General features: G+C 40.6%; 1 protein-coding gene across 8 annotated transcripts in view; it reads left to right on the top strand.

Annotated features, from left to right (window-relative positions):
- NUP210L (nucleoporin 210 like) overlaps nucleotides 1-18,008 on the top strand; it is a 162,427-nt gene that overhangs the window by 81,556 nt on the left and 62,863 nt on the right. For all 8 annotated transcript variants that reach the window (XM_011510122.2, XM_011510123.2, NM_001159484.1 and 5 more), the window contains 7 exons: nucleotides 3,096-3,288; nucleotides 11,887-11,975; nucleotides 12,515-12,619; nucleotides 12,920-13,021; nucleotides 14,868-14,996; nucleotides 15,345-15,472; nucleotides 16,614-16,746. In XM_011510122.2, coding sequence (XP_011508424.1) covers nucleotides 3,096-3,288; nucleotides 11,887-11,975; nucleotides 12,515-12,619; nucleotides 12,920-13,021; nucleotides 14,868-14,996; nucleotides 15,345-15,472; nucleotides 16,614-16,746 — 879 coding nt within the window. The remainder of the gene's footprint in view (nucleotides 1-3,095; nucleotides 3,289-11,886; nucleotides 11,976-12,514; nucleotides 12,620-12,919; nucleotides 13,022-14,867; nucleotides 14,997-15,344; nucleotides 15,473-16,613; nucleotides 16,747-18,008) is intronic.

Genomic DNA, 18,008 nt, shown 5'->3' with positions numbered 1-18,008 from the left:
TTACAGATATAAACCACGATGCATGGCCCTTATTTATTTATTTATTTGAGATGGTCTCACCTAGGGTAGAGGGCAGTGGTGCAATCATAGCTCACTGTAACCTTGAACTTGGGCTCAAGCGATCCTTCCACCTCAGTTTCTCAAGTAGCTGCGACTACAGGTGCACACCATCATATGTGACTAATCTTTTTTATTTTTTGTAGGGATGTGGGTTTCATACTTTGGGAGGCCGAGGTGGGAGGATTGCTTGAGCCCAGGAGTTCAAGACCAGCCCTGGCAACACAGTGAGACCCCGTCTCTACAAAAAATAAAAAAATTCTTGCAGCAGTAAGGTGATATCACATTGTGGTTTTGATGTGCATTTCCCTGATCATTAGTGATGCTGAGCATTTTTTCATATGTTTGTTGTCCATTTGTATATTTTCTTTTGAGAATTGTCTGTTCACATCCTTAGCCCACTTTTTGATGAGGTTGTTTGTTTTTTCCTTGCTAATTTGTTGGAGTTCATTGTAGATTCCGGATATTAGTTCTTTGTCAGATGTATAGATCGTGAAGATTTTCTCCCACTCTGTGGGTTGTCTGTTTACTCTACTGACTGTTCCTTTTGCTGCGCAAAAGCTCTTTAGTTTAATTAAGTTCCAGCTATTTATCTTTGTTTTAATTGCATTTGCTTTTGGGTTCTTGATCATGAAATCCTTGCCTAAGCCAAAGTCTAGAAGGGTTTTTCCAATGTTATCTTCTAGAATTTTTATAGTTTCAAGTCTTAGATTTTAGTCCTTGATCCATCTCGAATTGATTTTTGTATAAGGTGAGGGATGAGGACCCAGTTTCATTCTCCTACATGTGGCTTGCCAGTTATCCCAGTACCATTCGTTAAATAGGGTGTCATTTCCCCACATTATGCTTTTGTTTGCAAGAATGGCCATAATTGCCAGGCGCGGTGGCTCACGCCTGTAATCCCAACACTTTGGGAGGTCAAGGCGGGCGGATCATGAGGTCAGGAGATCAAGACCATCCTGGCTAACACGGTGAAACCCCATCTCTACTAAAACTACAAAAAATTAGCCGGTCGTGGTGGCAGACGCCTGTAGTCCCAGCTACTCGGGAGGCTGAAGCAGGAGAATGGCATGAACCCGGGAGGTGGAGCTTGCAGTGAGCCGAGATCTCACCACTGCACTCTAGCCTGGGCAACAGAGCGAGACTCCGTCTCAAAAAAAAAAAAAAAAAAAAAAAGGAATGGCCATAATTAAAATAAAAAAATACAAAAAATAATAGATGTTGGTGTAAATATGGTGAACAGGGAACACTTTATGCTGCTGGTCAAAATGTAAACTAGTACAGCCACTATGGAAAACAGTGTGGAGATTCCTTAAAGACCTAAAAGTAAAGCTACCATTTGATCCAGCAATCCCAGTGCTGGGTAGCTACCCAGAGGAAAAGAAGTCATTATATGAAAAAGATACTTGCACACATGTTTATAGCAGCACACTTTGAAATTGCAAAAATGTGGAACCAACTGAGATGCCCATCAATTAACGAGTGGATAAAGAAACTGTGATACACACACACACACACACACACACACGCGATGGAATACTACTCAGCCATATAAAGGAATGAATTAGGGCCAGACGTGGTGGCTCACGCCCGTAATCTCAGCGCTTTGGGAGGCCGAGGTGGGCAGATCACGAGGTCAGGGGATTGAGACCATCCTGGCTAACATGGTGAAATCCCGTCTCTACTAAAAATACAAAAAAATTAGCCGGGCATAGTGGCACGTACCTGTAATCCCAGCTACTTGGAAGGCTGAGGCAGGGGAATCGCTTGAACCCAGGAGGCGGAGGTTGCAGTGAGCCAAAATTGTGCCACTGCACTCCAGCCTGGGTGACAGAGCAAGACTCTATCTCAAAAAAAAAAAAAAAAAAAAAAAAAAGGAATGAATTGATGGTATTTGCAGCAACCTGGATGGGATTGGAGACTATTATTCTAAGTGAAGTAGCTCAGGAATGGAAAACCAAACATCGTGTGCTCTTACTCATAAGTAGGAACTAAACTATGAGGATGCAAAGGCAAAAGAATGGCACAATAGACTTTGGGGACTCGGGGGAAAGGTGGAGGGGGGTAAGAGATAAAAGACTACAAGTTGGGTCCACTGTATACTTCTTGGGTGATGAGTGCACCAGAATCTCACAAATCATCACTAAAGAACTTACTTGTAACCAAATACCACCTGTTCCCCAAAAACTTACGGACATAAAAAAATTTAAAAATTAAAATTAATAAAAATTAAAAAAAAGTTATCCAGGTGTGGTGGCACGCACCTGTAGTCCTAGCTACTCAGGCGACTGAATTGGGAGGATGGCTTGAGCCTGGAAGGTTGAGGCTGTAATGAGCCATGGTCACACTGCTATACTCCAGCCCATGCAACTGAGAGATACCCTGTCTCAAAAAAAAAACAAAAAACAAAAAACAAAACAAAACAAAAAACTGGCCTGGACTTTACAAAAAATTCAATATCATGAAAAACAATAACAAAAAAGGGCAAATGTGCCTTTTCTAGATTAAAATATACCAAAAAGGTAAACAATCAAATACAATGCATACATACACCTTGATTAACTTCTAGATCTAAACTAAAAAACGTATAAAAATATTTTGGGGCGACATTTTGGGGAATGGAAATATTGACTATACATTTGCTGACATTGAATTAGTGTTAATATTATTGTGTGTGATATCCTGTTTCTTACATAGCAGAATGTTCTCGTATTCTTAGGATACATGCTGAAATAGTTAGGGGTGAAGTGCAATGATGCCTACATCAACAAAACAAAATAACAGCCATATATGGAAGGTGAGGAAGGAGAGGGAGAGAGAGAAAAGGCAATGTAACTAAATATTAAGAACTGGTGAATCCAGGTGAAGTGTATGTATATAGGTATTTATTATATTGTTCTTTCAATAGCTATAAGTTTGCAAATTTTTAAGGTAAAAATATTGAGAGAAAACTCGATTCCTAGCTTTAGAGATATCTTACTACCCCTTAGGCTATTGATTTTTAAATTGTTGTTTTATTACTTTTTATTTTAATGCAGATTCCTGTATCAAGACTGAGGGACACAGTCCTGGAACTAGCAGTGTTTGATCAACATAGGAGAAAGTTTGATAATTTCAGTTCACTAATGCTAGAATGGAAATCCTCCAATGAAACACTAGCCCATTTCGAAGATTATAAATCAGTGGAAATGGTAGCAAAAGATGATGGCAGTGGGCAGACCCGGTTACATGGTATTGTGAAAATATACAAGTCTTTTCATATACCTGAGTGTTTTTTTGTTTGTTTGTTTTGTTTTGTTTTGTTTTTTGCTTTAAGTTCTAGGGTACATGTGCACAACGTGCAGGTTTGTTACATATGTATACATGTGCCATGTTGGTTTGCTGCACCCATTAATTTGTCATTTACATTAGGTATTTCTCCTGATGCTATCTCTCCCCCATCCCCGCACCCCATGATAGGCCCTGGTGTGTGATGTTCCCCGCCCTGTGTCCAAGTGTTCTCATTGTTCAATTCCCACCTCTGAGAGAGAACGTGCGGTGTTTGGTTTTCTGTCCTTGTGATAGTTTGCTCAGAATGATGGTTTCAAGCTTCATCCATGTCCCTACAAAGGACACGAACTCATCCTTTTTTATGGCTCCATAGTATTCCATGGTGTATATGTGCCACATTTTCTTAATCCAGTCTATCATTGATGGACATTTTGGTTGGTTCTAGGTCTTTGCTATTGTGAATAGTGCTGCAATAAACATACGTGTGCATGTGTCTTTATAGTAGCATGATTTATAATCCTTTGGGTATATACCCAGTAATGGGATGGCTGGGTCAAATGGTATTTCCAGTTCTAGATCCTTGAGGAATCGCCACACTGTCTTCCACAATGGTTGAACTAGTTTACAGTCCCACCAACAGTTTAGTAAAAGCGTTCCTATTTCTCCACATCCTCTCCAGCATCTGTTGTTTCCTGACTTTTTAGTGATTGCCATTCTAACTGGTATGAGATGGTATCTCATTGTGGCTTTGATTTGCATTTCTCTGATGACCAGTGATGATGAGCATTTTTTCATGTATCTGTTGGCTGCATAAATGTCTTCTTTTGAAAAGTGTCTGTCCATATCCTTTGCCCACTTTTTGATGGGGTTGTTTGATTTTTTTCTTGTAAATTTGTTTAAGTTCTTTGTGGATTCTGGATATTAGCCTTTTGTCAGATGGGTAAATTGCAAAAATTCTCTCCCATTCTGTAGGTTGCCTGTTCACTCTGATGGTAGTTTCTCTGGCTGTGCAAAAGCTCTTTAGTTTAATTAGATCCCATTTGTCTATTTTGGCTTTTGTTGCCATTGCTTTTGGTGTTTTAGTCATGAAGTCCTTGCCCATGCCTATGTCCTGAATGGTATTGCCTAGGTTTTCTTCTAGGGTTTTTATGGTTTTAGGTCTAACATTTAAGTCTTTAATCCATCTTAAATTAATTTTTGTATAAGGCGTAAGGAAGGGATTCAGTTTCAGCTTTCTTTCTTTTTTTATTTTATTATTATTATACTTTAAGTTTTAGGGTACATGTGCACAATGTGCAGGTTAGTTACATATGTATACATGTGCCATGCTGGTGCGCTGCACCCATTAACTCGTCATTTGGCATTAGGTATATCTCCTAATGCTATCCCTCCCCCCTTCCCCCACCCCACAACAGTCCCCAGAGTGTGATGTTCCCCTTCCTGTGTCCATGTGTTCTCATTGTTCAATTCCCACCTATGAGTGAGAATATGTGGTGTTTGGTTTTTTGTTCTTGCGATAGTTTACTGAGAATGATGATTTCCAATTTCATCCATGAGATGGAGTCTTGCTCTGTCACCCAGGCTGGAGTGCAGTGGCATGATCTTGGCTCACTGCAAGCTCCACCTCCCGGGTTCACGCCATTCTCCTGCCTCAGCCTCCCGAGTAGCTGGGACTACAGGCGCCCACCACCACACCCAGCTAATTTTTGTATTTTTAGTAGAGATGAGGTTTCACCATGTTAGCCAGGATGGTCTTGATCTCCTGACCTCATGATCTACCCTCCTCGGCCTCCCAAAGTGCTGGGATTACAGGCATGAGCCACTGCACCCCACCCAGTTTCAGCTTTCTACATATGGCTAGCCAGTTTTCCCAGCACCATTTATTAAATAGGGAATCTTTTCCCCATTTCTTGTTTTTGTCAGGTTTGTCAAAGATCAGATGGTTGTAGATGTGTGGTATTATTTCTGAGGTCTCTGGTCTGTTCCATTGGTCTATATCTCTGTTTTGGTACCAGTACCATGCTGTTTTGGTTACTGTAGCCTTGTAATATAGTTGGAAGTCAGGTAGTGTGATGCCTCCAGCTTTCTTCTTTTTGCTTAGGATTGTCTTGGCAATGTGGGCTCTTTTTTGGTTCTATATGAACTTTTCCAATTCTGTGAAAAAAGTCATTGGTAGCTTGATGGGGATGGCATTGAATCTATAAATTACCTTGGGCACTATGGCCATTTTCATGATATTGATTCTTCCTATCCATGAGCATGGAATGTTCTTCCATTTGTTTGTGTCCTCTTTTATTTCGTTAAGCAGTGGTTTGTAGTTCTCCTTGAAGAGGTCCTTCACATCCCTTGTAAGTTGGATTCCTAGGTATTTTATTGTCTTTGTAGCAATTGTGAATGGGAGTTCACTCATGATTTGGCTCTCTGTTTGTCTGTTATTGGTGTACAAGAATGCTTGTGATTTTTGCACATTGATTTTATATCCTGAGACTTTGCTGAAGTTGCTTATCAGCTTAAGGAGATTTGGGGCTGAGATGATGGGGTTTTCTAAATATACAATCATGTCATCTGCAAACAGTGACAATTTGACTTCCTCTTTTCCTAATTGAATATCCTTTATTTCTTTCTCTTGCCTGATTGTCCTGGCCAGAACTTCCAACACTATGTTGAATAGGAGTGGTGAGAGAGGGCATCCCTGTCTTGTGCCAGTTTTCAAAGGGAATACTTCCAGTTTTTGCGCATTTCAGTATGATATTGGCTGTGGGTTTGTCATAAATAGCTCTTATTATTTTGAGATACGTCCCATCAATACCTAGTTTAATAAGAGTTTTTAGCATGAAGGACTGTTGAATTTTGTCGAAGGCCTTTCCTGCAACTATTGAGATAATCATGTGGTTTTTGTCTTTGGTTCTGTTTATGTGATGGATTATGTTTATTGATTTGCGTATGTTGAACCAGCCTTGCATCCCAGGGATGAAGCCAACTTGATCTTGGTGGATAAGCTTTTTGATGTGCTGCTGGATTCGGTTTGCCAGTATTTTATTGAGGATTTTCTCATCAATGTCCATCAGGGATATTGGTCTAAAATTCTCTTTTTTTGTTGTGTCTCTGCCAGGCGTTGGTATCAGGATGATGCTGGCCCCATAAAATGAGTTAGGGAGGATTCCCTCTTTTTCTATTGACTGGAAAAAAGTTTCAGAAGAAATGGTACCAGCTCCTCTTGTACCTCTGGTAGAATTCAGCTGTGAATCCGTCTGGTCCTGGACTTTTTTTGGTTGGTAGACTATTAATTATTGCCTCAATTTCAGAGCCTGTTATTGGTCTATTCAGTGATTCAGCTTCTTCCTGGTTTAGTCTTGGGAGGGTGTATGTGTCCAGAAATTTATCCATTTCTTCTAGATTTTCTAGTTTATTTGCGTAGAGGTGTTTATAGTATTCTCTGATGGTAGTTTGTATTTCTGTGGGATTGGTGGTGATATCCCCTTTATCATTTTTTATTGCGTCTATTTGATTCCTCTCTCTTTTCTTCTTTATTAGTTTTTCTAGCAGTCTATCAATTTTGTTGATCTTTTCAAAAAAACCAGCTCCTGGATTCATTGATTTTTTGTTTGTTTGTTTGTTTTTTTGAGACGGAGTCTCGCTCTTTCGCCCAAGCCGGAGTGCAGGGGCACTATCTCAGCTCACTGCAAGCTTCGCCTCCCGGGTTCATACCATTCTCCTGCCTCAGCCTCCTGAGTAGCTGGGACTACAGGCGCCCGCCACCGCACCCGGCTAATTTTTTGTATTTTTAGTAGAGACAGGGTTTCACCGTGTTAGCCAGGATGTTCTCAATCTCCTGACTTGGTGATCCGCCCGCCTCGGCCTCCAAAGTGCTGGGATTACAGGCGTGAGCCACCGCGCCCAGCGATTCATTGATTTCTTGAAGGGTTTTTTGTGTCTCTATCTCCTTCAGTTCTGCTCTGATCTTAGTTATTTCTTGCCTTCTGCTAGCTTTTGAGTTTGTTTGCTCTTGCTTCTTTAGTTCTTTCAATTGTGATGTTAGGGTGTCAATTTTAGATCTTTCCTGCTTTCTCTTGTGGGTATTTAGTGCTATAAATTTCCCTCTACCCACTACTTTAAATGTGTCCCAGAGATTCTGGTATGTTGTGTCTTTGTTCTCATTGATTTCAAAGAACATCTTTATTTCTGCCTTCATTTCGTTGTTTACCCGGTAGTCATTCAGGAGCAGGTTGTTCAGTTTCCATCATGTAGTTGTGCGATTTTGAGTGAGTTTCTTAATCGTATATCTGAGTGTTTCTACAATTATTTTCTTTCTTTCTTTTTTTTTTTTTTTTTTTTTTTTTTGAGACAGAGTCTCACTGTGTTGCCCAGGCTGGGGTGCAATGGTGCTATCTCTGCTTACTGCAACCTCTGCCTTCGGGATTCAAGCAATTCTTGTGCCTCAGCCTCCTGAGTAGCTGGGACTATAGGCATGTGCCACCATGCCCAGCTAATTTTTTGTATTTTAGTAGAGACCGAGTTTCACCATGTTGCCCAAGATGGTCTCGAGCTCCTGAGCTCAGGCAATCCACCTGCCTCGGCCTCCCAAAGTGCTAGGATTACAGGCATGAGCTGCCACACCCAGCCCTAAATATTTTCTTATGGGCAAGAGTTTTATTTTAGATTTTATCACGTGTCACCTTTTATCTTTGACTCTTGTATTTTTTAGAAAATGTGAAGGTAGTTTTCCTTGTTTACAAAGCTAGGGCTGAGGGGCCAACATTTCTTACAAGAACATAAAATTAAATCATTTTTAAAATATATTTCTTTTTCTTTAGAGACAGGATATTATTCTGTCTCCCAGGCTGGAGAGCAGTAGAGCAGATCATAGCTTACTATAACCTCAAACTCTTGGACTGAAGTGATCCTCCTGCCTCAGCCGCCCTAGTAGCTAGGACTGTAGGTGCATGCCACCAAGAGCAGCTAATTTTTTAATTTTTTGTAGAGACAGGTTCTCACTATGTTGCCCAAGCTGGTCTCAAACTCCTGGCCTGAAGTGATCCTCCCACCTCAGCCTCTCAAAGTGCTGGGATTACAGGCATGAGCCATTGTACCTGATTTTATTTTATTTTATTTTATTTTATTTTATTTTATTTTATTTTATTTTATTTATTTATTTACTGAGATGGAATCTCGCTCTGTCTCCCAGGCTGGAATACAGTGGCACAATCTCGGCTCATTGCAACCTCTACCTCCCGGTTTCAAGCGATTCTCCTGCCTCAGCCTCCCGAGTAGCTGGGCTTACAGGCCTGCACCACCTCACCTGGCTAATTTTTTGTATTTTTAGTAGAGACAGGGTTTCACTATGTTGGCCAGGCTGGTCTCGAACTCTTGACCTCAAGTGATCTGCCTGCCTCGGCCTTCCAAAGTGCTGGGATTACAGGCATGAGCCACCACGCCCAGTGCCTGACTCAATTTTAAAATGTATTGACTGCCTACTATTTTCCTAATATTATTTATTTGTTAGTAAATATTTATTGAAAGGCTACATGTAAGGTCCTCTGCTAGGCACTGGAGATGATGAATGAGATTGACATGGCTTTTCCCTCATATACTTATAGTCTAAGGCAGACTATAGCTGGAGAAGCCAGACTTTAAACATTACAACTGTGTTAAGTGCAAATACAGGAAGACTTGAGAGCTTCAGGGAGACCTAACCTCGTCTTGAACAGGGAAGGCTACCCTGAGAAAGTGACATTTATGCTGAGACCTGGAGTGGTGACAGGAAGAGGAAATAGCAAGAATGAGCTTAAGAAGGCGAGTGAGACTAAGTCAGAGAGGCACGAGGCATAGATGAGGTTCTAAAAAGGCAACAAGCCCTCATGCCCAAGTGCTTATTAAGCTTCTGCTTGTGTCATATTTGCTGATGTCCCATTCGCTGATGTCCCATTCACTAATGTAAGTCACCTGACAAAAACCAGAGTCAAGGTGGGTGGGACTATACAAAGGCATGGATACCAGCAGGCATGATTCACTGTGGACCATTAATATAACTGTTTAGGCCAGGTGCATTGGCTCATGCCTGTAATCCCAGCACTTTGGGAAACTGAGGCAAGAGAATCACTTAAGCCCAAGAGTGCAAGACCAGCTTGGGCAACATAGTGAGACCCCCCACCACCTCTATTAAAAAATAATAAAATATTATTTAATATATTTATGCATATAAAATATGTAGACGTGTTATATAATTTATATATAATATATACATATTATGTATAATATACCATATCATACATATATATAATATATGTACTTTAGTGCTCCCTATTCCATTGAATGGTTCTACATCTACCCAAATGCTCATCCCGGAAATCTAAAAGTTAGCTTTTGTACCACTTTCTTCTACACTGGAAGATGATTCTTCTTCACAATACAAGTCTGAATATCTCTCTTAAAATCCTTTTTTGGTTGCTATTTACTGAGCTCTCATGACATGCCAGGCACTGCACTAACTACTTTATACACTTTTTCACATAATCTTCTAACCACCATGAGAGATTGGTATTATTATCCCCATTTTGTGAATTTGTTGATTTATCATACATTTATTTAGTTCTTACTATAATTGGCTCAGTTTTAGGACCTAAGATTACAAAGGTAAATAGATGAAGCAGCAAACTCCCTGACATCAAAGCCTGTAGTCCTGACTGCTGACTATACTGTCACCATATTGTCTTCAGAGATTCCCCATTCTTTCAGGGTAAAATTTGTATGTTGTAGCTTAACAGACTGACCCTGTTTACTTCTTTGGTTTCACCTCTTATTACTATCCACACATATCCTATATTTTTCTCACCCTCAACAACTTTAGATCCCTAACTATGACAAAGCTTGTCATTCTTCTTTCCTTTGCATATATTGCATATGTTCTATTTTCTTAAAACATGCTTTTCTCACATCTTCACTGGGCTGAAATCTTCCTCTAGGAAACCTAGGAGTTTTCTGTCCCTCTATATTCCCGGTCTAAAATAAATATTCCTTCTTTGTGCTCTTATATACTATATGTGCTCTGTACGTACTTCTATAATAGCACTTATCACACTGTATTGCATTGATTGGTTTACTACTCAGTCTCCCCTCACTAAACTATGGGTTTCTTTGAAGGCAAGGATTGTGTTTTCTTCTTAATTTCTGTATTCTAATTACCTAACATAGCACCTGGCATGTAGTAGGCCCTCAATAAATATTTGTTGAATGAATGTGGCATCACAAGAAACTGCCTCACAGATTTAGGCATGATTATATATTGAGGACAAAATTAAAACTGACCTAAGTGAAGTGGCAGATTCATGTTTGTTAAATTAAAAAAAGAAAAAAAGGCCATGTGCAGTAGCTCACACCTGTAATCCCAGCACTTTAGGAGGCTGAGGCAGGAGGATCACTTGAGCTCGGGAGTTCAAGACCAGCCTGGTTAACATAGCAAGACCCCGTCTCTACAAAACATTAGCCAGGCATGTTGACGTGCACCTGTGGTCCCAGCTACTTGGGAGGCTGAGGTGGGAGGACTGCTTGAGCCGGGTAGGTAGAGGTTGCAGTAAATTGTGATTGCACCACTGCACTTCAGCCTGGGTGAAGAGTGAGACCCTGTCACACACACACACACACACAAAAAAAAAAAAAAAAAAAAAAAGGAAAAAGAAAAGAGAGAGAAAGGTGAAGAGTGAAAGAGGAAAGAAAAGAAAGAGAAAGAAAAATGAATGATTAAAGCAGAGTCAGAATATGGAAGCCTTCAAATACAAGTTTAAGGAGTTTGGATTGATCTAATTAAGAACAGTTAGCCATTTAAACACTTTGCTAAGTGACTTACATGACATGTAAATGTAGAGGACAATTTAGGAGAATGAAAGATGAAAGATCCCAAAGGACTATCCCTTTCTCACTTCCATTTGTAAATTGGACAAAAAATTACACTTGTCAGCCTATTTTTGGACTCATAGACCATCAAAGCTAGAAAGAATTTTAGATTTCGCCTGGCCCAGTCCCTCATTTAATAAAGGAAATAAGAGATAAAGTGTTTGCTCAGGGTCATATGGGTACATATTGGCATGGTCAGCACAAAAACCCAGTTTTCAGGCCGGGCGTGGTGGCTCGTGTCTGTAATCCCAGCACTTTGGGAGGCCGAGGCGGGCAGATCACGAGGTCAGGAATTCGAGACCAGCCTGGCCAACATAGTGAAACCCCATCTCTACTAAAAATACAAAAATTAGCCAGGCATCGTGGCACGCGCCTGCAGTCCCAGCTACTTGGGAGGCTGAGGCAGGAGAATTGCTTGAACCCGGGAGGTTGTGGTAAGCCGAGATCACATCACTGCACTTCAGCCTGGGCAACACAGCGACACTCCATCTCAAAACAAAAACAAAAACAAAAAACAGTTTTTTCTTATGTATTTCCCCATTGAGAGTTTTTCCTCCCCTGCAATAAAGCACCATTTGGAAAAACTGTGGCAGAATGTGGTTTTCTAGAAACACTTGCGTATTCTACATGTTATTGTTTCTCACAGGGTATTTTTCTGCATGTTTCCAGGTCATCAGATCCTTAAAGTACATCAGATAAAAGGGACTGTACTGATTGGAGTCAATTTTGTGGGCTATTCAGAGAAGAAAAGCCCAAAAGTGAGTGGAGATTATAATGTAAGAAATATAAATTAAATAATTGGAATGTAAAGCTCTTCTTTAAAAGTTGTACAACTTACATAAAGCTGAGACTATATACCTCTGTAATTCTGTTATTTTGGCCCTTGAGAGAGTCCTGGAAACTTCTCCCATAGAGCTGAAGAATTAGACATTGACTTTATTATTATTATTATTATTATTATTATTTGAGATGAAGTCTCGCTCTGTCACCCAGGATGGAGTGCAGTGACATGATCTTGGCTCACTGCAACCTCTGCCTCCCGGGTTCAAGCGATTCTCCTGCCTCATCCTCCCAACTAGCTGGGATTACAGACACCCACCACCATGCCTGGCTAATTTTTGTATTTTTAGTGGAGATGGGGTTTCACCATGTTAGCCAAGCTGGTCTCAAACTCCTGGCCTCAGGTGATCTGCCTGCCTTACCCTCCCAAAGTGCTGGGATTACAAGCGTAAGCCACCGTGGGCGGCCAAGAATTAGATGTTTATATTCACTTTTGTGGTTCTTATTATATTTCTAGGAAATTTCCAACTTGCCCAGATCTGTAGATGTGGAACTGCTCCTGGTAGATGATGTAACTGTAGTGCCTGAGAATGCCACCATCTATAACCACCCTGATGTAAAGGTAGAAGCTGTATGAGTCTAGTTAAATGGAATCATATTGGAGGGGAAGTTATTAAAATTAATAGCATAACAATTAAAAAACTTACTTATGTGTTGAAAATAATTGATACATATATGTAAAACACATATATAATAGTTGCACTGTCCTTAAAAATTGTACTTTAATAATTGTATTTTGTCTTTTGTCTATTCACTTTAATCTTTTTATCCCATATTCTTTCTTAGGTAGGTAGAAATTATTTCCTTTGAGCTATTTATAAACTGAAGCAAACAGAATATTGTTTGTCTGATTTTTCCATAGGAAACATTTAGCCTTGTGGAAGGATCTGGTTATTTTTTAGTCAACAGCAGTGAGCAGGGTGTTGTCACCATCACTTACATGGAAGCAGAAAGCTCTGTTGAGGTGAGCTCTAGAGACAGTCCCAGATTGATGGTCTCAGGCCAAAGCTCATTCTGAGGAGATTGGAAAAATTCCATTTTGTGTCTAAAACTTGTTACAGAAGTAACATTTTCCTTTCTTTCTTTAACCTATATAGATTCTTCAACCAAAAGGGAGTGCTTTTTTTGCTTCTGGTTGAACAGAGACAGTATAAGAGATCTCAGTTAGAAGATTTCCGTTAAAAGAAGTTTCATTTTTATAAGTTTCAAAGCACACATCTGTGTAGATACTTAAATATTTAAATATACTATTGACTTTATTTATTGAGATAGAGTCTCGCTCTGTTGCCTGGGCTGGAGTGCAGTGGTGCGATCTCGGCTCACTGCAACCTCCACCTCCCAGGTTCAAACAATTCTTCTGCCTCAGCCTCCTGAGTAGCTGGGATTACAGGAGCCCACCACCATGTCTGGCTAATTTTTGTATTTTTAGTAGAGATAGGGTTTTACCATGTTGGCCAGGCTGGTCTTGAACTCTTGACCTCAAGTGATCTGCCCAAAGTGCTAGGATTGCAGGTGTGAACCACTGCGCCAGGCCACTGTTGACTTTATAACATGAATATATGATGTTTTCAGCCAGGACATGACAACTCAAAACATTAACCTAACTCCATAGTCAGTATGCCAAAGGATTTGTTTTTAGTTGATTTATAGTAATAAAAATAATACCATCTATTAATATATGTATATAGTTCCTTTCTAACAGCTTAAAGTAATTTAACTTACCCTAGTCATAATATATGTTTTAAAAAGGGAAGACTAAGGTACAAATGATGTGAAAAAAACATGCTATTGTGCAGGAACTGTAGCACAAAGAAAGAAAAAACAGTGTTAGTTGGCCTAATGCTTTCTCCCCCTACTAGTGATTGTGGCATAAATGCACGCGATTTTTCTTCATGACATCCTTTCCCTATTTATAATTGAGAAGCTGAATACATATGTTGGATTCTGCTTGAATTCAATCAACATAAATTCTGCTCTTTACTATTTGTTTTTGTTTCGTTTTGTTCAGTAGAAATAGGGTCTCACTCTGTTGCTCAGGCTGGAGTGCGTGGCATGATCATAGCTCACTGTAGCCTTGAACTCTTAGATTCAAGTGATCCACCTCAGCCTTCTGAGTAGCTGGGATTATAGGTGTGTGCCACCATGCCCAGCTAATTTTTTTTTTTTTTTGAGACAAGGTCTCACTCTGTTTCCCAGGCTGAAGTGCAGTGGCACAGTCTCAACTCCCTGCATCCTCAACCTCCCAAATTCAAGTGATCCTCCCTCAGCCTCCTGAGTAACTGGGACTACAGGCACGGACCACCGTGCCCAGCTAATTTTTGTTTTGTTTTGGGTAAAGACAGGGTTTCACCATGTTGCCCAGGCTTGTCTCAAACTCCAGGGCTCAAGCAATCCTCTTGCCTCAGCCTCTCAAAGTGCTGGGATTACAGGCATGTGCCACCACGCCCAGCCTTGCTAATTTTTTTTAAAAAGTTTTTATAGAGACCAGGATTTTGCTTTGTTCCCCAGGCTGTTCTTGAACTCCTGGGCTCAAGTGATCCTCCTGCCTCAGCCTCCCAAAGTGCTGGGATTATAGGCGTGAGCCACTGCGCCCAACCTATATTTGTTAAAGTACAGATTTTGCCATAATCGGAAACATCACATTAAGTGTACATATTATGCTATGCCTGAATAATGTTACGTGACGTCTGAGAGTCCCCAGTTCAAAGAAAGCAAGATGTTTTCTATTCTGCTTTGGGTGAAAATAGTTGCTTTGATTATGCTTGGAGCATGTTTGCTTCTTTATCCAGCTACCATCTTCTTACTTCCAGTTAGTTCCATTACATCCTGGATTTTTTACCTTGGAGGTCTATGATCTTTGTTTGGCTTTCTTGGGTCCAGCAACAGCCCACCTCAGGGTGTCAGACATACAAGAGCTGGAGCTTGATCTGATTGATAAGGTGAGACATGTTTGTTTTATCTCAGAAATTAAGCAAGACTTATTCTCACTACCCAGCATTCCTTAATATAGTCTCTGCTCAGCTACTGTGTGTGTATACCAGGACTTCTGGTAATGTTAATGGAAATACCTGCCCTTAAAGAACAACATTTCAACATTAAACAGATGAAGATAAATAGACTGTTAAAAACCAACTTAAAACAATACACATAGATTAAGCTTATTTGATTGAAGGCTGACCAGGATCATTTAGCATGAAAGAAAAAAAAAGTACACTGCCCTCTAAGAGTTAGACTGCCATTGGTGAATGAGACACCTTTGCTAAAATCTTTTTCTTTTTAACTACTAGGTTGAAATAGACAAAACTGTGTTAGTGACTGTGAGGGTTCTTGGCTCTTCCAAACGCCCATTCCAAAATAAATACTTCAGAAACATGGAACTCAAACTGCAGTTGGCTTCTGCCATTGTCACCCTGACGTAAGTACCATTTCAATACTTCCTTCCCACTCTGCATATCATAAGACTCTCCCTCCTAGTGACCTGGTCAGCTTTCCCTTACCTTAGATTATTTCAGATTTTCTCCATTCCTTTTCTGTTAGAATACATTTCAGCCCATACGCTCTTCCCATATTCAGCTCTCTACAAAATATCCATTTGAGCCTGGCGTGAGGGTACATGCCTGTAGTCCCAGCTACTCAGGAGGCTAGGGCAGGAGATTCACTTGAGCCTAGGAGTTGGAGGCTCTAGCACACTATAATATAATTGTGCCTGTGAATAGCCACTGCACTCCAGCCTGGGCAACATAGCACGGCCTACATCTCTTAAAATACACACACACACACACACACACACACACACACACACACACACACACATTCGAGGTCCTCAGATGCCTTGTTTGGGGGCTAAGGTCACATGTCATTAATATTTCCATTTTCTGAAACCTCTCCTTGGATGATATCTTTTGGGGGTGCTTCAGGATAGAGGACCCTTTAAAAATATATTTAGAGGCAGACATACTGGTATTCCCCTCTGAGAAAGGAGAAATTCAGGAATTTCAGGCAATTTAGTATTTGCAATTTTACCAGTCTATTTTTATATTGCCCTTATTCCTCTGGAGCCTTAGAACAAATTTTTGCCTCTCAGGAGCCTTCCACCGTTCCCTTGAAATTTGTCTTCACTCTGGAAATTTATTTTCTTGCAATTCCCCCTAACCAGAGTTAAAATGAGCAGAAAATGTTAAGCACCTTGGAAAGATGCACCACTGGCCACTTTCAGAACCTAATCTTGGCCAAGCGTGGTGACTCATGCTGCAATCCCAGCATGATGGGAGGCTGTGGCAGGAGGATTGCTTGAATCCAAAATTCAAGACCAGCCTGGGCAACACAGTGAGACCCCGGCTCTACAAAAAATAAGAGAATTAGCCAGGAGTGATGGTATGTGCCTGTAGTCCCAGTTACTCAGGAAGCTGAGGTGGGAGGATACATTGAGTCTGGGAGGTTGAGGCTGCAATGAGCTGAGATCATGCCACTGCACTCCAGCCTGGGCGACAGAGTAAGACCCTGTCTTGAAACAAAACAAAAATCTTTCTCACCTGAAAATACATGGGTTTTTGCAGACCAATGGAGCAACAGGACGAATACTCTGAAAATTATATTCTTCGAGCTACCACTATTGGGCAAACCACACTTGTGGCTATTGCCAAGGACAAGATGGGAAGAAAATACACATCAACTCCTCGGCACATTGAAGTAAGGAAATTATCTCATCCAAAATTTGTACTTTTTCTTGCTTAACATCATTTGTCTTTTTCTGTTAGTTTATACAAGTTAAAAATCATTTGACTGGCTGGGCACAGTGGCTCACACCACCATGTGAGCACTTTGGGAGGCTGAGGTGGGAACATCACTTAAACCCAGGAGTATGAAACCACCCTGGGCAACATAGTGAGACTCTGTCTCTACAAAAATAAAAATAAAATAAAATAAATTAGCCAGACATGGTGTGCCTGTAGTTCCAGCTACTCAAGAGGCTAAAGTAGGAGGATCACTTGAGCCCTGGAGGTTGAGGCTGCAGTGAGCTGTGATTGTGCCATTGCACTCCAGCCTGAGTGACAGAGAGAGACCCTGTCTCAAGAAAAAAAATCATTTGACTGAAAAAAAGGATGGTGTCTAACTCTTGCACAACATGCAGTATTTTTGGGTTTTGTCTCTCTGTATAAAACAGTTCTTATAGAAAATTTGGAAAAACATGTGTAGTGGTGCATGCCTGTGGTCCCAGCTACTTGGGAGACTGAAACAGGAGTGTCACTTGAGCCCAGGAGGAGTTCCAGGCTGAAATAAGCCATGATCGTGCCACTGCACTTCAGTCTGGGTGACAGAATGATACCCTGTCTCTTAAAAAAAGAAAAGAAAAGAAAATGTGGAAAGCACAAATTTTAAAGGTGTTAAATGAAAATCACCTGTAATTTCACTACTTAGAGGCAACCATTGTTTTTTTGTTCGTTTGAGACAGAGTCTCGCTCTGTTGCCCAGGCTGGAGTGCAATGGCGCGATCTTGGCTCAGTGCAACCTCTGCCTTCTGGGTTCAAGCGATTCTCCTGCCTCAGCCTCCTGAGTAGCTGGGATTACAGGTGTGAGACACTGCGCCAGCCCAGCTGTTCTACTTTTATATGTGTTCAAAAAAAAGAAAGTTAACTGTAAACATAATTTTAATGATCACTTTTACTCTAGTGAGTAGATATATAACTTATTTTAGTATTCCTACTTAAATACTTTTAAATTTTTTGCTATTACACATAAAATTACATATCTTTGTGTGTAACTTTTTGGTAGATAATTAAGAGTTTTCCTTAGAATAAGATCATGATGGGCTGGGTTTGGTGGCTCATGCCTGTAATCCCAGCACTTTGAGAGGTTGATGCAGGAGCATGACTTGAGCCTAGGAGTTTGAGACCACCCTGGGTAACATAGGGAGACCCCATCTCTGCCAAAAATTAAGGAATTAGTCAGGC

Source organism: Homo sapiens, chromosome 1, assembly GCF_000001405.40.
Source record: "Homo sapiens chromosome 1, GRCh38.p14 Primary Assembly".
In the NCBI taxonomy this organism is placed as follows: Eukaryota; Metazoa; Chordata; class Mammalia; order Primates; family Hominidae; genus Homo; species Homo sapiens.
The sequence above is the reverse complement of the archived record's forward strand: the minus strand, read 5'-3'. Positions and strand labels throughout refer to the sequence as shown.